Genomic DNA, 21,201 nt, shown 5'->3' on the forward strand with positions numbered 1-21,201 from the left:
TTAAGTTACTTTTTAAAATGTCCAGAAGATAATTTTTTTATATTTTTATTTGTTCTGTCACCAACTCTTCCTCTAAACTCTGTCAAACTTTTAAAATTTCTCTCAGTGACACAAACACAAAAGGTAATTTATCATATTCATTTCTTTTTTTTAAGATACACCTTTCAGAGTTCTCTGACTCTTCTGCTATAAATGTGTCATCCTGGGAATATCTCTGCTTTGCTTCTGTGTTGAATGCCTTGTTCTGTAGCTCTCATATTCTGCCATTTCTTCATTTGATGGAGCACATCCTCTAATGGCCTCCTAGAAATGTTATAAGGGAGTGAAATGTTTGAGACTTGCATATCTAGGAATGTGTTTATGCTACTACCCTTACACTTGATTGACAGTTTGGCTGGGTATACGATTCCAGTTTGCCAATCATTTCTCCTTAGAATTGTGAAGACATTCCTCCACTTTACTCTAGATTCTGAGCTTGCTGCTTGTTAGCCTATAGGATTTCTGATTTTAGGATCTTCTCTTTTTCCAACTATAAAATTTCACAATGATGTGCCTTGGTGTTATAGTTCTGGGAACTCAGAAAGTCCTTTTCAATTGGGAGACTCAGATCTTTCAGGTCAAGATTTTCTTGTATTACTTTCTTGAAAAATTTATTATTCCATTTTATCTGTTAACTTTTTCTAAAATGCCTACTAGTATAATGTTTTACTTCTTGCATTGATTCTCTAAGTTTTGCATTTTTTCTGCTTTTTTTCATATCTTGATCTTTTTGGTTACTTTCTGAAGATTTCTTCAACATTTTCCAATATTCTGCTGAATTTTTATTTCATGATATTTTTACATTTCCCATAGTATTTTTTAATTTTTTGAATGTTTATTTTATATTTTTCTGGTTTCGTCTTACGGATGTAACATCTTCTGACGTCTCACATGATACTAAGCCCAGGGTATTCACCCTGCTCCACTTCTCTGTTACTAAAATTTTGTTACTAAAATTGTCTTTCATGGCGAACACTTTCCTCAGATCCCTTGTGATTCTTAGTTATCCATTTACATTTATCAACAAGGAACTAAAGAGCTGATTGTGTGCACAGGTGGAGCTTGCTATCCAATGGGCTTCACTGCAGTGCTATAAGGTAGGAGCCTGGCCATTTTGCTGGGGAGCCTCAAAGTGTCAGGTCTTTTCTCTTGGTTTCTCCATAGAGGAATCCTTCTGCCTGGGAGATATAATTCTGGAAGCGAATGTTCTGCGAATTGAGAAAGGAAGGAGACTGGATGTCACCTTTAAATATAAACTTTTTCACTCGGTCCCCATTTTCAAACCTTTGTACTATATCAAACACATTCTATTAACAAAGCCCAACATTGAACCAATCAGCAAGGGAAAAATCCTCACAGGATCCAGCTCCAGTATAAACAGATAACTGGCACATTCACCCTTCCTTGGCCTGTTATCTCTGAGTTTGGAGTCTCTTTGTCAATTTCTTAAGCATAAGTTTTTGTTTCCTAGTGGGGTGAAGGAAGGGACCTGGGGTCTGTTTGCTGCTTACACGGACTGTGAATCGATGCTCCTCTTTTTATCTCCACCTCTTATCCCTAAGTTTCTGGTGCCTCTAATCTGTGAGTCTCTATGAGGCTCACTTGAGCAAATTGGCTTCCCATTATAGCTTCCCCTATTGCACATGGAGTTTCCTCCATGCTGCTATATCATTCAGCATTTGTCTACCCGCTTTAAGACTTCCAAGCTTTTGTTGACATCCTTTTTCTAGGGTCATCTTTTCTCATGTTTTCTTTGTTCTTGTGGATTTATGACTTTTACAAAAATTGTCATTTTATTGGAGTTCCAGATGGGATAAAGATAACTATTCCTTAAATTCCCCATGTTTAACCTACCAATCTTTTACTGAAAGTTTAAGTATTTATTCATAAATTAAAGAAAACTAGTTCGATTAAGCCGTGATTAATAACAAATCATTTTTAGTTTGGAAGGTATTTAATTTACTTCCATGGGTACAGACTTCTTCAAATCTTACTCTATAACTATCAAAGATTGGTCCAAGAAACACAAGCATCAAAATCAACTTATGGTATTTGTTGAAAATGCAAAAACATGAGCTTACCCTAGACTGTATGCATCAGAGTCTTTGGGGATTGGGCTAAGTACTCTGCATCTTAAACACATTTCTCAGATGATTAACAACTCTGAAGTCTAAGAACCACTGTTCCATTTTGTACTATTAATAAGTGATAGAATCTTTTGATTTGGCATTTTGGTGAAAAAGTACATTTTATTAGGAAAAGAACCCCCAAAAATGACTCTCAAATAATAATGTCTTATTTGTAGTTTTTTATCCATATCTTGTTAAGTCTCGCTTATTGGCCAAAACCACTATAAAAGAAAGCATCATCAGTCATCTGTTGTTTTGCTACCTGAAACTTAAGGAAAGAGTCTCAGAATTCCAGCTCCACAGATTCAGACACATGAAAATGACAACAAACGTCACTGCCTCCATTAGACTGGGGGTGAAAATGAATGCATGTTCCAAGGCCTTGATGAACTAAACTAATTATGCAAAGTGAAACCCTCCATTAGTCTTTTGTTCCAGTCCTAGTCTCTAGCTGACTGTAAAGTGGGAAATCAACCTTTATGGGTTCCAGGAAGGCCTGAAAAAGGTAACAGCAACCTTCCCCCCTCACCCTCCAGGCCTTGGCCACACAGCGACAGGTTTTGTTTTGTGGCAAAATATTTTGTACTCAAGATTATTACTTTTTCTTTTAAAATAGTAACATTAATGTTCTTTCTGCTTATAAAATTAATACATACTGACTGATGAAAAATTAGAAAACTGAGAAAAAAATGAGAAGAAAATAAAATTTACCCAAATCCCAGAGATAGCCAGTGTTAACATGGTAGTACATTCCCTTCTAGTTCTATTTCTGCACATCCGTGTTTTAACACAGTTAAGGACTTTGAAGCAGTTGTATACCCTGCTTTTTTTCTACTTCTCATTTTGTAAGCCTGTCTCCACATAAAGTTCTTCGTACACATATTTAAAGGTGTATAGCTACCCATTCATTTGGCCACTCCCCAACTGCTGGATATTTAAGTTGTTTCCAACTTTTTGCTGTTACAAATAACATGATATTCAGCTTTTTATATAAGTTTTGGCCCACATTTCTAGTTTTTTCCTAAGGATGCATTCCTGGAGGCTATGAATATTTTAAGGCTCTTGATAGAAGCTGTTACACTATTTTTCAGAAAAGTTCTTTCAAGACACTCTTTTCTACTAGCAACAAATGAGAGTGTTCCTCTCATTACAGTTTCAACAGCTCTAGATATTATAAATTTTTTATCAAAATAACATAGATTATTTTAAAAATCAGTATTCTCAAAAGACATAATAAAAGACACCAGTCCCCTGGCCTACCGTGCTCTGCCCTCCTGTTCACAGCCCAGATGCCACTACTCTTAATGTTTTTAGATTATTTTAGGTATTTACAATAATATGTTTATTTCATAATTTCAAAATTTTAGACATTATCTATTCATTTACTGCTGCAAAAGATTAGGACTTAGCTAATTTACATCAACTCCACACTTCCTCACTCTTTTCTTCTCACATCCTCCCAATAAACTTATATCGCTGTGTTTAAGCAAAGCAATAATAAATCTACAATTATTAAGTAATATAACAATAATATCTTGTTATAATTACCATTAATATATTTGTTATGTTATAATTAACAAAATAATAATTGTTGTAACTGCACAAATATTATTCAACACGTTGTATATTAATATTATGCATTGACTTCTCTGTCTCTTTTTCTTTAGGCTGGCATTTTTAATTGTGCTTTTCTTCTTGCATTGTTCTCCTTATAGTTCACATTTGGCACCATTACATCAAGTATTCTTTTAAGTCTCCCATTTTCCTAAAGATCTTCCTGCCAAAGTTCTTCATACTCATGTTTTAAGATGGACCAGGAATCAAATTATTATCTAAACAGAATTCTAATTAATCTAATTTTTAATTCTCTGACTCTGCCTTTTGGTGCCGGAAGTTTCTGAGCCTTGAGGTGCTGCGGGCCAGCCAGCTGTCATCCTGTCTGCACCCTACGGTGGCTCTGTGGGCACATCAAGCTGTGGTTTCTTCCAGCCTACTCTTTCAAACACCAGTTTGCAAGAATTCTGTTGAAATTTCTCACTCTCAGATAGCCCATATCCCAGTGATTCTCAACTCATGGTGAATTTGTCCCCCAGGGAACATCTGGCATACTGCAGATAATTTTCGGTTACCACAACTGAGTTGGGGTTGCTACTGGTGTCTAGTGGGTAAAGCCCAGTGATGCTGCTAAGCGTCCTGCGATACACAAGACAGCCTTCAACAACAAATAATTATTTATCATTTCAGTAGCTTCTCAGGATAAAGAAGAGGTTAACATGTATATTCAAATTGACATCTTTTTTTTGAGACGGAGTCTCGCCCTGTTGCCCAGGCTGGAGTGCAATGGCGAGATCTCAGCTCACTGCAACCTCCTCCTCCCAGGTTCAAGCGATTCTCCCGCCTCAGCTTCCCGAGTAGCTGGGATTACAGGCGCCCGCCACCACGCCCGGCTAATTTCTTTTTTTTTTTTTTTCTTTAGTAGAGACGGGGTTTCACCATGCTGGCCAGGCTGGTCTCAAACTCCCAACCTCAGGCGGATCCGCCTCGGCCTCCCAAAGTGCTGGGATTACAGGCGTGAGCCACCGTGCCCGGCCTCAAATTGACATCTTTATATCATTCAAGTTCTTGGAGATTGTTTCTTCAGTCATAAAATGAGATTGGTCCTTACTACTATTAGGACTAAATAAGATGATGTACAAACAGGATCCAAAGCATAAAATTTTTTCGAAACTAGTCAGAAGTTATTATTTTTAAAAATGTTTTGATAGTTTGGCAGATTAAAAATGCTACCTTGTTTAAATTTACATTTTTTGTACTGGTGAGGCTGAAATACTTTCATGTGTTTATTTTGCAATCTGCATTCATTCTGCTGTGATTTGCCCAAGTCTTTTGTTAACATTGATTGACAATAATATGTTTATTATTACCCACAGGCTCTGGCCCTGCCAGCATGTGACTGCAAAATACAGTCACATTTACTTTAATATTGAAATCACTCTGAATCACTACATCACAAATTAATAAGAAATTTGCTGTTTACCTAGGGTTTCTCTTCCCAAGTGACTGTGATTCCCCTGAGTTAAATGGCTGTCCTCGTCACTTGCTGCCCCCTGCTGGGAGAGCAGAAACTCACTCAACACTAGAGGGGCTGCACTCCATGGCTATCTGGGGACCTCCCCACACTTTCTTGGGATGGCCCCACCTGCTGGTCTCCTAGGCTTCCCACTCCACCATTTCACACCTGGTGGTGGTGATTAGACAACCACGTCAAAGCTCTGCAGGGCTGCAGAGATGGAGCCCAGCTGGACACCTTTCTCTAACTCTCCTAGTACTCTCTTGTTTTCACTGCCAGCTGCAAGAATTGACCAGATCTCCCAGATGAAGATGAATCCTCCAAGATATAATAAAGACCTCAGTATTCAAGTCATCTAGGAATGTCCCATATTGAAAATGCCAAAATCCCAAGTGATTCAGCTCTTTAGTGATATATGTGTGATTAGTAGTTTTATATATAACATTTGTTGAGCATTTATTATGTGCTACATATAGCACTCAGTACTTTACATCAATTGTTTCATATTTATTCCTCATTTAAATATTAGGAGTTATGCATATTATTATTATATGTCCTCTTCATAGATGAGACTTAGACAGAAGTAGGCAACATGCCAAAAGACACACCACCACAAATCCAATTTAGGACTGTCAGTCCTCAACACCTACATTTTACACAGTTAAGGGGCTATTTTTTTCTATTTGCATATACTGTACTCATTTCCTCTAAGACCTACTTGGATGGAGTAGGTTGCTTCTGGGTCCAGACTCTCTCCTTTTGAAGGTACCATAGTTAACTCCTTCACTCTGATCTCAATCAGAGCCACCCCAGTCCATCAACACACATTTATGTTCTTAAACTTCAAAGTGGGGCAAGTGGCGGGAGAAGTCAAGATCCTAATTCTCTTTTCCCAAAAGAAGATCCTCCTTTACTTAATAAATCCCATAACTACATAAGTTAATGATGCAAAGACAGAAGGGAGGCCCAAGTGCCCACGGATACGTTGGGAAAAAAATGGCATTTAACTCTTCCCAGTGGTGTCTAAGCTCAGTTCTTACTAAGCCAGTCATGTCTTATTACATAAGGTCACTGCTATTTTGTGTGTTCCTTTATAAAATTATTATTTTGTTTTTTTGCCAAGGGATTATGGTTTCCAAATGCTGCAAAATAGTGACTTTTTACCATTTTAGGTTATCTCGGCATCCATTTTGAATACAAGTTTAACTGTCTCATACCAAAATCAAAATCAGGTCTCAGACACCCTTGATACAAGTTTCAGTCCTACACTACACCCACACCCAAATGGCTCAAGCTGGTAGCCAGAAATAAGAACTTAGAGTCCTCTCTACCACCTAGCAGACTGGACTCCCCACTTTCCCACCGCTTCCTTTAAAAAAACCACTCAGGCGTTTGCCCAAGAACTGAGAGTCACCCACATCCTATTCCTTTATACATGCTGCTTATTGCCATGCACGTGTGCTCTCTCCCTCTCTCCCAACCCTTTCTTTCTATCTGACTCTTCATTCCTGCCTCATGAGACCCAGGGACAGGCTGCCCCAGGCTGGGTTTTTCCCATGATGTTGGGGAGAACACAAGGTCAGGATCCCAATGCTAGAGTGATGGAGGCATAAACTGGATCATAAGCCAGAAGTCGTCTGCCAGTATAAACAAGTTTCCCACATGAGGGACCCTTGCGGTCGTGGGTTGGGTAACTAGACATTAGGCCATCTGCTAGGTAAAGGGTATCCCATGAAAGGCACACTGTAAACACCTATGTCCAACCCCCCTTCATTTCCTGTTAGGGCAGGGTTGCTGGCCGCTCTGGTTCTAAACTCCAGTTTATCTAAGGGCTCTCAAAACACACAACCCCTGGGGAAGGAGCAGGGAATGGACAAGTTCAATGGACTCCATGTCTGTCTTAGTTTGCTGTTCCAGGGTCTTTAGTGTGGCAGGCCTCAGATGAGTACGGTCTCTAAATCAGAAAAGAAAAACAAAAGAAACCAGAAACATTTGGCCAGGAGTGGTGGCTCACGCCTATAACCCCAGCACTTTGGGAGGCCAAGGCCGGTGGATCACCTGAGGTCAGGAGTTCGAGACCAGACTGACCAGCATGGTGAAACCCTGTCTCTACTAAAAACACAAAAATTAGCTGGGCGTGGTGGTGTGGGCCTGTTATCCCAGCTACTTGGGAGGCTGTGGCAGGAGAATCGCTCGAACCCAGGAGGCGGAGCTTGCAGTGAGCTGAGATTGTGCCATTGCACTCCAGGTGACAGAGCAAGACTCTGTCTGAAAAAAAAAAAAAAAAAAAAAAAAAAAGACAAGAAAAGAAAAAAGAAACCAGGAACATTTCAACAGGACCAGTACACCTCTCCTTGCTGTGCAGTGGCACCCGTTGACATTCCACCTTCCAGATTCCTGGGCACAAATCACCCCTGTTGTTCCCAGCTCATTCATTGATACTACTTAGAGTGAGCTATGATAACGATCACCCTGGTGATTTTTATATCTGCTACAAAATGGAGGGGTGGATCAGCCTTTCACATATGGATCAGGCTATCATCTTACTTAACTGACCTTGCAATGGAAGGCCTGGGTTGAAATAGGAACATTTGGTAAAGGAAAAGGTAATTTCAAGGCCTCTAACATCACTGGTGAGGATGGAGGCCCTGGAGCCGGTGTGAGTGCTGGCCATATTTACTAGTTTGAGCCTGGATCTGGGCAAGTTATTTGACTCCCTGTCACAGAGGGCTGTTAATCACACCTATCCCACAGGGTTGTTGTGAGGATTGAATGCAGCATTGCGTGTAGAGTGCTTAGAATGGCACCTGGCAGGCGAACGTGGGTTGCTGACACTTATTCCCACATTCCCAGTGTCTGGCACAGTGCCTGGCCCCGGGAGGTGCAATCCATTCTTGTTGCTAATGCTACCATTATCTTCACAGTCTGCGTCATGTTTTGTGAGGTCCCTGTGAAAAATTTCCAGTGCTGAGGCCTATGTCTGCCCTCACAGAAAAATACAAAATCCCACATAGGTGATCAAGGCCTGTTTCCACATTTCAGTCTGAGGGTTGGCTCGCAGAGAAAATGCTTCATGGGTTTCAGGCTTATCTTATAATAGAAAAGCCTTAATGTGATTATTAGAATCTTTACACTTGTGTCTAAATTTACACCTTAATTAGGTCTTGCATCTTTTTTTTCTCTTAGAAGTGAAACCCCAAAACCTGAAGGATAAGGTGTTTGTAAAAGACTTCCTTCAAAGTGAGAGGACACTACCAAATCACAGGTGTACCTGCAGAGTATCTAAGTGGATAGTGAAAACAGTGAAGTTATCCCAACACAGGAGCACTGGACACCTTGCTTCATTCAGAATTCGGTTGCAATTGGCCTGAATTTCTTATATTTCTATTTCACTCTGACATGAGAGTAAACCAATGTTCTGCATTAGATTTGCAATTATTCTAAAGGCACTGTTACAATTTCCTTTCTTAACTCTTACTGAAAAGAAAGTAGCCTTTTTGTCCCATTAAGGATGGTTTAACATCTTTAAACATGGGAAGAAGTCTACCTTATTGAAACATGCTGTAGACCAGGGGCCCCCAGTCCCCAGGTCCATGTCCTGTTAGGAACAGGGCCACACAGCAGCAGGTGAGCGGTGGGCGAGCGAGCATTACCACCTGAGCCCCGCCTCCTGTCAGATCAGCAGTGGCATTAGATTCTCATAGGAACGTGAACCCTATTGTGAACTGCACACGCAAGGGATCTAGGTTGTGTGCTCCTTATGAGAATCTATCTAATGCCTGATGATCTGACGTGGAACAGTTTCATCCCAAAACCATCCCCCCATCCCAGTCCACAGAATAATTATCTTCCACGAAACTGGTTCCTGGTGCCAAAAAGGTTGGGGACTGCTGCTGTAGGCCATGATAATGTCTATTACATCCTTCTACCTGCTTGGCTCTTGGTCTGGGGTCTAATACATAATAGACTCTCAATACATTTCTGGTCCACATGTAACTGTTACTAAGATCTCCAAGCACAGACATGGAGGATGTCCTGGAGGAACAGGTAACAGCAGCAGGCCAATCTGGTAGAAAGGCCATGATGTTAGGACTGAAAGAGACTGCACCGTGGTCCCATGTGGTATGGGAGTCCTTCATAGAGACTGCTGAGTTACCTTCTGTGTCACAGCCACATAAAACTGAATCCTTGTCTTAGTTCACTTGGACTGTTGTAACAAAATATCATAAACTCAGTGGCTCATGAACAACAGAAATTTATTACTCACAGTTCTGGAGGCTGGAAAGTCTAAGACAAGGCACTGGGAGATTTAGCATTTGGTGAGGGCCTGCTTTCTCACAGACAGTGCCTCCTATCTGTTCCTCACGTGGTGGAAGGGCAAACAAGCACCCTCAGGCCTCTTTTATATGGACTCTAATCCCATGGGTGAGCTAATCAGCTGCCAAAGGCCCCACATCTTTTTTTTATTATTATTATATTATTATTGTTTGAGACAGAGTTTCATTCTTGTTGCCCAGGCTGGAGTGCAATGGCGTGATCTCGGCTCACTGCAACCTCTGCCTCCTGGGTTCAAGTGATTCTCCTGCCTCAGCCTCCCAAGCAGCTGGGATTACAAGCATGCACCACACCCAGCTAATGTTGTATTTTTAGTAGAGGCAGGGCTTCTCCATGTTGGTCAGGCTGGTCTCGAACTCCCGACCTCAGGTGATCTGCCCGCCTCAGTCTACGAAAGTGCTGGGATTACAGGGGTGAGCCACCATGCCTGGTGGCTCCACATCTTAATACCACCACATTGGGGATCAAATTTCAACATATGAGTTTTGGGAAGACACAAACTTTCAGACCATAGCAATTCTAAAGACCAAAGTATTGAGTCCACTTCTTACCATCCTCATTAGACACTGAGATTCTTAAATCAGAGACTGTTGTTAAGTCACGTCCATCAGCTGTACAATCCTACACCTTACTCAGGGTAGGTGCTTAATAGAGCAATATTTGATGATTCATTGATTATCTTTTTTTTTTCTTTTTTTGAGACGGAGTCTTGCTCTGTGCCCAGGCTGGAGTGCAGCGGTGCGATCTCAGCTCACTGCAAGCTCCGCCTCCTTGGTTCCTGCCATTCTCCTGCCTCAGCCTCCTGAGAAGCGGAGACTACAGGTGCCCACCACCACGCCTGGCTAATTTTTTTTTGTAATTTTAGTAAAGACAGGGTTTCACCGTGTTAGCCAGGATGATCTCCATCTCCCGACCTCGTGATCCGCCCGTCTCGGCCTCCCAAAGTGCTGGGATTATAGGCATGAGCCACGGCGCCCGGCCGATTCATTGATTATTTTAAAGGACAGGTGAAAGAGTTAGTGCCTTAAAGGAGAAGTAATAACTCACTTCTGTGAGTTCAGATTGGTATTGAAGGGACTGGGTCTTGTTCATTTTTGTAGCCTGAATGTTCCATGCATTCACTCAATAAATTAATATTTATTCGATGAGTGGTTGTACAAGCAAATGAGCAGGAAAACCTCAAGGATCTCCTCAATAGGAGTCCACTGGCCTCTCCTTGGCCCCATTCAGTTCAATGTGAATATCCCATAAACGATGCTAGAGAAGATATGATTTTCAAATTGCAGATGACAGGATGTGAGTTTATTAGTACCATACTCCACTAATTCTAAGATGTACATTTTAACTTCTAAAATCAGATGCATCATACAATCAGTTGCATCCCACAGTTTAATGGGCAGTACTGTTTCTTCTTTATGGTAATTTTTTTAAATGCATCTTACAGTTAAAGGAGTTTTCTATTTGATGAAATATGGTATATTGGTTGATGTAATCCAAATCAAAGACTATCAACAGGATAGAACAAATAGGAGTGACTTGAACAAGATGGAATTTTGTGGTGATAAACAGTATAGTCCTGCACTTAAGTTCAAAAAATCAATTGCCCAAGTAAAAGATGAAGACAAGTTGGCTTAAATTCAGTTCCTGTCAGGTTTGAGTAGACTGCTAAGGAAGTCAATAGCCATGTCACTGCCCAAAAGCTAATGCAATTATAGGCTGTGCTAATAGAAATATAGTGTCCCCAAACAGGCAGAAATATCTCATGGTAATGTTCTTTGGTCAGATAGAGTTTGAAATCTCTTCTTGCCACATTTTAAGAGGCACATTAACAAACTGGAGCATCTGCTTTTATTGAAATTGTGCTTTGGAGTTAAGCCCTAGATCTACAATGAGAGATGACTTTAAAAGAAACAATTTGAGTAAATGTGGTATTGAATTTATCATAAGGAAATTGTTAGATGCATTCTTCTCTGGGAGAACCCAGGAGAAAATTTTCTTTTCTGTTCATGTCCAGGGATAGCTACGTTTCCTGTTTGCTTTTATGAAGACTGAATTGTACAACTGCCCCTGTTTCCCTTTTGGCTCTGGCTGCCAGTAAGTTCAAAAGGCAAATTTAGAGCCTAATACCTAGCCAGGTTTAGAGATCTGTATGGCATGTGTTTGTACACTACACTTACCTTGGGTTAATATTTCCTGCACTTATTTCTCTACGCTAATATTTCCTCCATTACTTTTATAATCCTGCTGTATCATTTACGCTTTTGCAAGCTCCTTCAAGTCTCCTTTGGGATACATTGGGGATATGAATGAATAAACACCAAAAATAACCAAGTAAAAAATGGATGCATATTCAGAGGAGAGCAACTGGGGAGAGAAGTGATGAGGAAATTGTTCCCTAGAGATGTGGCTGAAGGAACCGGAACTACTGAGAAAGCAGAAGACTGATTGGGGAATGAGAGTAATCCTACACACATTGACAGGCCTATCATACTGGAAACAGATTAAATATATTCGGTATGACTCTAAGTAAAATCAGTGAATGTTAGAGAGTGAGTTGTGTTTATTTTCTTTATATAAAAGAAAAAGTTGCTAACAATTTGAGCTGCCCAAAATTAGAATGGCTGCATTGTGAGGAACTGCACTCCTGTTTGTGGAAGTGCTTATGTTGAAGCCGGATGGCCACCTGTCAAGGATGTGAAAGATGGGATTCCTGAAGGATCCCGGAAGTCTCTCCTGACTGTGAGTCAACATTCTGTGAAATGGAGGCTGAGGTGTGGGAAGAAGACACCTGCTGAGGGAAGGGGGTTTGGCCAAGAACCTTGCCCTTGTGGAAGGGGATTCAGGGAGACAAAGGCCTCTAGAGAAAGAGAGGTCTCCTCCCAGGGAGAGCTGTCCTCCTGCCCATGGAGATGTTCTTCCAAGCACAATTCCCACACTGGAAACAGCACAAAGAGAAATCTGGGACACAGACATGAGCACTGAGAAGCACAGGCCTCCAACCGGCCTTCCTGTTCTCCGTAGTCCCCTCAATCAGGGGACAGGAAAGTGGCACTCTCAATTCCCTAGAGGTCTTTTATATTCCCTTTCCTGGGTTCAAATTCCATCCTTGCCTCCGATTGGCTAACAATTACCTCATTGTCTTTTCACTTGCTTAGAAAATCACATCTGCCTTCTCCACCCCCTTTCCTCCTTTCCCAATGCCTCTTACTCCAAAATGACAGCATCTTCCCCTTGTTGTGTATTCCTGCCCTCAAGTTCACAACTCCCCATTGTCTTCGACCTGATGTCCCAGGGCTTTCAGCTTCTCTTTCCTGACTGCATTAGCCATGCAGATTTATGCAGTGCTTCTCTCAGTCCTCAGCCATCTTCCCTGCTATGTTAATATTCAATGTTTTCCTTTCCCTCAACTCTGTTTTTAGCAGATCTTATTCCAAACTGCCTCAGAGCCACTCCCAGCTCGGTGGGGGCAGCTGGGTGTGGTGAGCACAGGACACTCCTTTGGACAGATGGACGGGCGGAGGGGCAGGAAAACACCCCCAGCCCCGGCTCAGCTGCTGAGTGATTTAGCCAAGAGTAGGAGGGGAGGAATGAGACAGCTCCACCAGCCCAGGCTAAAAACAGACCTGGCCTCCTCCAAATGTTCCACAGATTAGGACCCTCTTCCTCCCTTCTCCATTCCTACCGTCTCTCCAAACCTCAAATCCTGCAGCCACTGTGTAGCTTCTTTCCCCGTCAAGGCCACTCAGGATGTTGATCTTAATTTGATTTTGACAGACACAAAGAAGAGGAGGGGGACGGAGTCCACAGTGTGATCTGTCCTCCCCTCTTCTCCCACCTCTCAGGGTGGCCAGGGCCCAGCCAGCAGGACCTACAGCTTTGGTATAATTTACAGCCTGAGACTCAGAAGATGGGAACACAGCCAAGGCCATAAACTCTGTTCCGAGTGCTGTGTGACAGTTTATGGTAAAGGGCAGATGGGACTTGCTGGCTCCAGGCCTGCCCCTTCATTACAGAGCACCCTTCTGCCGCTCCTGTCACCAGCAGGCGGTGGTGACGTGCTGAATGGCAAATGGGAAGCAGACCTGGGTCCTCAAACTTGGTTCCTGTGTCCTGGGATCCCCACACACCCTGGCCATCACATACCCAGATCCCAACACACCTAGCTCCCCGCACACTTAGCTCCCCACACACCCTGGCCCTCACACACCCCATATACCCAGGTCCCTACACATCCTGGTCCTCACACACCCCACACACCCAGGTCCCTACACACCCTGGCCTTCACACACCAAGGCCCTCACACACGCAGATCCTCACACACCCAGGTCATCGCACACCCAGGCCCTTGCACACCCTGGTCCTCTCAGACCCTGGTCCTCGAACACCCAGGTCCTTGCATCTTCTGGTCCTCCTATGTGGGCCTGTGAGGCACACGCACAGAGAATAGAGTGTCACAGAGTAGGCACATTAACCCATAGCAAAGGTGGGCCGTCAGGAAGGGGTGGAGGTGCTTCCCTGACTCCCATTCTGTCTACTGAGAAATGGTATGCAAATGAACTTCAGGAGCAGCTTTGAGGGAAAAGGACCACAAAATAAGTCACTTGAAGAGGGTATGAAGAGGAAGAGGGGCAGGCACTTGTTTATGCAAGTATAATCCAAATGTAAGGTCTGTACCAGCATTTGTCTAAACAACTCTGTCACTGTCTTATTTTAAAACAAGGGATGGAACCTATCCTAGCCTCCTTTGACTACAGGAAACTTGTTTTTCCCTCACATTTCACCCCATGTATTTCTGAGGTAACTCCCATCCCTCGAAGTCTTCCCTGGTTGGCCCAGCCCCCTTGGCCGGGCCCTGTCTCCAGCCACAGCTTACTCCACTGCAGTCCTTCAACCACACTTGGGAGCAGCTTTCTTCTGACTCTCTCAAGCTGGCCACAGGTCCTTCCCTCCATTCCCCACCATGACAGCAAAAACCAAACTGTTAATCTTTAACAAGATTCGTACCTAAAGCTTAGGTTAAGGGTATTACAACACAGCCACAAAAATAGCATAAACCTTCATGTCAGAGAGAGGAGAAGACAGAATCTGCAATCCTCGCCTGCTTATAGAATGCCATCCTGTCCACCTCCCAGCCTGTTCACTCAGGAAGAAGCCAACCTTTCTCTCCCCATGTCTGAGCTCTGCAATCACTTACAGCCTACGTAGAGCCTCTCACCCCAGCACCCCTGCACAAAGCCCTGAGCTCCACTTCTTAAGGCTCATGGAAAGGAAACTGCAACTCTTCTTGTCCCTCTTAGGCCTCATTTCCTGTCTCAGGCATTATCTCTTCCAAGGGTGATTGACAGTGGGATGGTTCACTCACTTCAGAACCACGAGGATGACTCATCCAACGTCCTGGCCTCTGGTTTCCTCCATCTGTTCACCTCCAGCAACCTTTTCCTTCACTTCGTCTCAGCCACCGATACCTGTAATCAGCTTAGACTTTGTCATCACCAAGAAGAACACCAGCTCTGAAATTTCCCTCTCAGAAATCCCCACTAGACCATGAAAAGACATGGAGGGACTGTAAATGAAAGAAGCCAACCTGAAAAGGCTACATGCTGTATAATTCCAACTAAATGGCACTGGAAGAGACAAAACTATGGAGATTAAAAGGAAAGGTGTTTGCCAGAGGTTTGGGAGAAGGGAGGGATGAAGAGGTTGAGTATAAAGTATTTTTAGGGCAGTGAAACGATATTGTGTGATACCCTACTGGAGTATACATGTCATTATACCTTTGTCAGGACCCACAGAATATACAACACCAAGGGTGAACCCTAATGTGAACTATGGACTTTGGGTGTGTCTTACCTGGGCTGGGTAATTTACAAAGAGGTTTATTTGGCTCAGAGCTCTGTAGGCTGTACAGGAAGCATGGCGCCAACATCTGCTTATAATGAGGGCCTCAGGCTGCTTCCACTCATGGTAGAAGGCAAAGGGGAGCCAGCTCATGCAGAGATTATATGGCAAGAAAGAAAGATGAGTTGCCATCTCTCATTTTTAGCAACCAGCTCTCACTAGAACTAATAAAGCAAGAACTTACTTATTTCCATGAGGACGGCACCACAGCCTTCATGAGGGATTCACCCATGATCCAAACACCTCCCACTAGGCCCCACCTCCAGCATTGGGGATCAGATTTCAGCATGAGATGTGGAGGGGACAAATGTCCAACCTGTATCAAGGTGATAATGATGTGTCAATGGAGGTTCATCTGGAGGTTCTTCACTTGTAACAAATGTACCACTCTGGTGGGGTGTGTTGATAGCAGGGTTGGTTGTGCACATATGAGGGCAGAGGGTATATGGGAAAGCTCTGTACTTTCTGTTCAGTTTTGCTGTGGATCTAAAACTCTAAAAAACAAAGTAGACTTTAAAAAAAATCTCAACTAATTTCCTGTCCTTCTCTTCCACTTGCTCTAGTGCCCTTTTGGCTGTGACTCTTTAATTACATTGAGACACATCATGTGTCACTCTTTAGCAGGCCTCTTGTCTTCACTGCATTCCTGATCCGACTTACAGCCCAAAGCCCACCCTGATAAACACTACCTCACAAATACCCTCCATTTCCTCATCCTTTCTCTTTTGGCAAAAACCTCTCTCTGACAACCTCAATAACTGTTTTTCCTTGCCTGTATCCAATGTGCCTAAATAAAATATTTCTTTTTTTTTTTTTTGAGACAGAGTCTCACTCTGTCACCCAGGCTGGAGTGCGGTGGCGCGATCTCAGCTCACGGCAATCTCTGCCTCCGGGTTCAAGCGATTCTCCTGTCTCCCAAGTAGCTGGGATTACAGGCGCACACCACGACACCCAGCTAATTTTTTTGTATTTTTAGTAGAGACAGGGTTTCACCATGTTGGTCAGGCTGGTCTCGAACTCCTGTTCCGCTCACCTCGGCCCCCCAAAGTGCTGGGATTACAGGCGTGAGCCACCGCACCTGGCCAGATAAAATATTTCTAAAGAAAATCTTATGCCAGGCTGACCCTCACACTTTGAATTCATGACCAGAAGCCTGACCAGAGTGCTCAAAGCTTCCCTCAACACTGACCGTTTCCCACTCTCTGGAGTAACTAACTCATATCTTCTTGTTCTTACTTTAGACTTTCTACATTTTCTGCCACTGCACCCTCTTCAGCAGGTGAACTCACCTCTTACTACATGGAAAAAATAGAAGGTTTCAAATAGGAATGGTCTCATCTTCCCATCACCAAATCTAGAATCCAGCCTGCATTCCCACGTACCTCCTCTTCTTCAGGCCAGGTAAGTAGGTCGAAGTGTCCTTGCCATAATCAAAGCCTCACCCTTGGTTTGAAGTGTAGACCTCAGTCTTTTTTGCTCCTCCTTGTGGACATGGCCCCTGCAGAGATCCGTGATACCTCCTGCATCACCAAGCTCTTGCTTTACTGGGTCATTTGCATCACTTTACAAACATACTCATCTTTAAGAAGAAAAAAGACATGAAAAGAGATGTTCAACATCATTAATCATTAGAGAAATGATTAGTGGCACGATCTTGGCTCACTACAACCTCCACCTCCTGGGTTCAAGCAATTCTCCTGCCTCAGCCTCCCAAGTAGCTGGGATTACAGGCACCCGCCACCATGCCCAACTAATTTTTTATATTTTTAGTAGACAGGAGGTTTCACCATGTTGGCCAGGCTGGTCTCGAACTCCTGATCTCAAGTGATCCGCCTGCCTTAGCCTCCCAAAGTGCTAGGATTACAGGCGTGAGCCACCATGCCTGGCCTTCCTTCCCTTCATTTCTAATTTCAACTCTTCTTTCTCTCCCTTCCACATAGACACCCATTCAAATATGTTTTGCCTGAGTCCTTGAATGTGCATTATTTCTGAAAAAAAAAGGTGCTGTATTGCTATGTTTCTAATGTACATAAATAGTACAGTGCTATACTATACAAATAGTATACTCTCTATACAAATAGTATAGCACTATACTATTGTGCTATACTACTATTTGTGTAGTACAGCACCAGCCTCAGAGACAGAGAGCACAGTGGTCAGAGTGTAGGCTGGAATCCCAGCTCTGCCACTTACTCACTGGGTGACTTTAAGTAAGCTGCTTAATGCTCAGTGTTTCCATTCCATGTTTGTAAAATAAGGATTTATTCAACAAACATTCACAAATATTTATTGAGAGCCTTCTATGTGCCAGCCATATAGACTGGGTAATTTATAAATAATGGAAATTTATTTCTCAGAGTACTGGAAGCTGGGAATCCAAGATCAAAATGCCAGCAGATTCTAAGTCTGGTGAGGGTGCACTCTCTGCTTCATAAATGGGTCTCTTGCCGCAAAAAAATCTGTTTGCTCCTCCAGATTCATCAAACATCTCCTGGCTATGAGGAGTCCCTTGGGAATTCAGAGACAGAAAAAGAGTGAGCTAGTTGCTCCCTGAGAGCAGTTGCCTTGGATTGGCTCTTTTCTTCACAGAAGGTCAGTGCTTCTCGAATGGTGGCCAACTCTATGAAATTCTATCTCCATCTTTTTGGCCTAAGGATAGTGACAGACTTACTGCTGCTAGTCTTGAGTTTTTGCACCATCTCTACTATTTCTCTTCACATGCTCACACCTATCTTAACCCTTCTCTCTCTCTCTCTCTCTGTCTCTCTCCCTTTCTCTCTCTCTCTCTCTCTCACACACACACACACACACACACACACACACACACACACAGTTATCCTGAGTTGAATGTATCATATTTTTCTGCTGGGACTCTGACTGATACATTGACTAATCTCATTTACTGAAAAGTTAAATGCAAATTAAAACCACAACGAAGTATAACTTAATTCTCACCAGAATGGCTAAAGTAAAAAAGACTGATAAAACTGAGTGTTGGCAAGGTTATGGAAAAACAGGGACTCTCATACACTGTTGGCAAAGTGTAAACTGGCACAACTACTTTGGAAAACAGACTGACTTTATCTGGAAATGTGAACATGAGCTCAGCAATCTTACTTCTACATCCATATCCTAGGGCGTGGTTCTCAAACTTTCACCTGCCATTAGCACACCCAGTGGGCTTGTTAAAACACAGATTGTGGCCGGGCGCGGTGGCTCACGCCTGTAATCCCAGCACTTTGGGAGGCCGAGGCGGGCCGATCACGAGGTCGGGAGATCGAGACCATCCTGGCTAACACAGTGAAACCCCGTCTCTACTAAAAATGCAAAAAAAATTAGCCGGGCGTGGTGGCGGGCGCCTGTAGTCCCAGCTACTCGGGAGGCTGAGGCAGGAGAATGGCGTGAACCCGGGAGGCGGAGCTTGCAGTGAGCCAAGATCGTGCCACTGCACTCCAGCCTGGGCGACAGAGCGAGACTCCGTCTCAAAAAAAAAAAAAAAAAAAAAAAAAAAAAAAAAACACAGATTGCTGGGCCCCTCTGCCAGTGTTTCTAATTCAAGTCTGATGCAGCAATTGAGATTTTGCATTTCTCGTGAAGTTCCCGGGTGCTCTGATGCTGGGACTACATTTTGAAAACCGAGGCTCTAGAAAAGTTCTTGCACATGTGCACCAGGTGCCATAGCACCATTGTCTTAATTCTTTTTTAAAAACTGGAAATAATTCAAACGTCCTTCAACTGTAAATTGGACAAATAAGTTATCATATATGAAATAATAGCACTACAAAGGCATGAAACACTGCAACAAACATCAACATGGATGACTCATGAGGCAAAACTAAGAAAATGATTTTAGGGATACATAGATGTTAAAAGTATTAAGACAAGAAAGAGAAGACTAATCAAAAATTATCATGGTAGTTACCTCTATAGGAAAGGGAGGAGATGTGATTGGAAGACACACACACAGGGTCTTTGATGTTACTATCAATGTTGTATTCTGACTGGTGACCAATTATGCAGATGTTTGTTCTACAGTTATTCTTTGAGGTGAATATAGCTTTCTTGAACCAGGCTGTAAGAAACATTGCCCCAGACCCTCAAAATGAATCCATCAAAAGCTGAAAACTCCTCACCAGTACTTTCCCCCTATCTGGTTCTCTCATTTCGGCAAGTGAATGAGACATCAATAGTCTAAGATGTCCCACCACCCCTGGACTCCCACCATCTTCTGAGTCTCCTCTGAGCAAACTGCTGGGGCAGGAACACACATTCACACTTCCACAGGGACAAGTCACAATATATAAATAGTGCATGTTATCTAAATCCACGTTTAGGAAAGAAATATTTTTCTATCAGAAACACGATAGTACAGATGCGATTTTTCCCACAAAAAAAGAGATACATTTTTCATTATTATGCACTGTAGTTTAGTTCCCAAGAGCCAGGCTCTCAAACCTGTCATTCTAGAAAAGGGTCATTGTTCTATATTTGCATAACCAAAGGGTGTTCTTTTCCAGAACAATGAAGCAGTCTGCCTCCAAGTTAACCCAAGGCAGAAAACTGCTTCCAGCCTTCAAATGAAATGGGTAAGTTCTTACTTCCGTAAGAAGGAGGAAGCCTCTGTTTTTCCCTTTCTTCTTCCCTCCCTCCCCTTTCTTCCTTTACATCAGCAATAAATTATTTTCTCACTCCAAAGTCACTTCCATTTGTGGATATTCTTGCCCTGTTAGAAAGTTCTTTCTTTATTGAAATATTTCTCCTAGGGAGCGTTCAGCTGGTTGGTTTTGTTTCTGCCCTATGGGGTGATTGTAAATCTAATCCCTCTTCAACGTGACAGCTTTTCAAATACTGTAGGTTAAGATCCTTGCTGTGTCTTCCCTGAGTTTTCTTTTTCTCTTAGTCCCTCAGCGGTCTCCCCTAGGGCAGCTTTGAACCCCTTCTCCATCCTGGTGGATGTGTTCTTAGGCTCCAATTTGTTACTCCCAAACATAAAGTGGGGACCTCAGACCTGAAGGCAAGTTCCAGTTGTGGAGAAGAAAAAAATGTTTTCTCTCTACCTATCTTAGGTTAATTGGCTAGGGCCCAGCAAATTAGATGGACAAAAGACGTATTAGCAAGAGTAAAACAAACATAAGTTTACTAACATGTGTATCACGCATACACCTGGGAGCACCCAGTGATGAGTAACTCCAAAGGGGAGTTAGAACTTGGGCTTAGAGAGCATCTTAGCAAAGAAGAGTTTTGAAAAAAAGAAAGCAACAAGACAAAAGAAAAGGACTTTGAGCTTCTAGGAGTGGCAATTGTGTGCAAATACATGGAAAGTAGATAAGGTTTAGTTTTAGCAAGGTTTGTGGAGATTTCTCTGGGCCATAAGGACCTAGAGTTGTCTCTGGTGATTAATTTCTGTCTTTCCTGTTAGAGACGGGAGAGGGGACACCTTTACAAATTTATGTTCTGCTTTTAGGCAAATAAGGGGAGGGCAGAGAGCTTTTTATGTGTCTGTTTCTTCTCAATTGCCTTCAGCTCAAAATAATCCTTATGCTGTATTTTGGGGTGGCATTTTCTGCCACCCTTCACAGCCATAATGTGACTTCCAGCCTAGACTGAAGAAGGATTATCAAACCACCAGTCCTAGATATTATACACTTATTGACGCCATACTTTTAAGCATGATAATGTACAGAGAAGCAATAATTGACTGATGCCACGAATAGGTACTAGAGAGAGAAA

The 21,201-nt window shown here is 42.7% G+C and overlaps 3 annotated features.

Moving 5' to 3' along the window:
- Positions 5,161-5,455: an enhancer, noted in NCBI's record as "tiled region #9503; K562 Activating DNase unmatched - State 12:CtcfO". NCBI's record gives its function as "activates a minimal TATA promoter and a strong SV40 promoter by Sharpr-MPRA in K562 cells {active_cell/tissue: K562}" and the evidence as "EXISTENCE:reporter gene assay evidence [ECO:0000049][PMID:27701403]".
- Positions 8,001-8,202: a silencer, noted in NCBI's record as "fragment chr1:117363109-117363310 (GRCh37/hg19 assembly coordinates)". NCBI's record gives its function as "represses an EF-1alpha promoter that drives an FKBP-Casp9 reporter gene in an ReSE screen in HepG2 liver carcinoma cells {active_cell/tissue: HepG2}" and the evidence as "EXISTENCE:reporter gene assay evidence [ECO:0000049][PMID:32094911]".
- Positions 14,906-15,095: an enhancer, noted in NCBI's record as "active region_1575". NCBI's record gives its function as "activates an Ori minimal core promoter by ATAC-STARR-seq in GM12878 lymphoblastoid cells {active_cell/tissue: GM12878}" and the evidence as "EXISTENCE:reporter gene assay evidence [ECO:0000049][PMID:35858748]".

Source organism: Homo sapiens, chromosome 1, assembly GCF_000001405.40.
Source record: "Homo sapiens chromosome 1, GRCh38.p14 Primary Assembly".
NCBI lineage: Eukaryota > Metazoa > Chordata > Mammalia > Primates > Hominidae > Homo > Homo sapiens.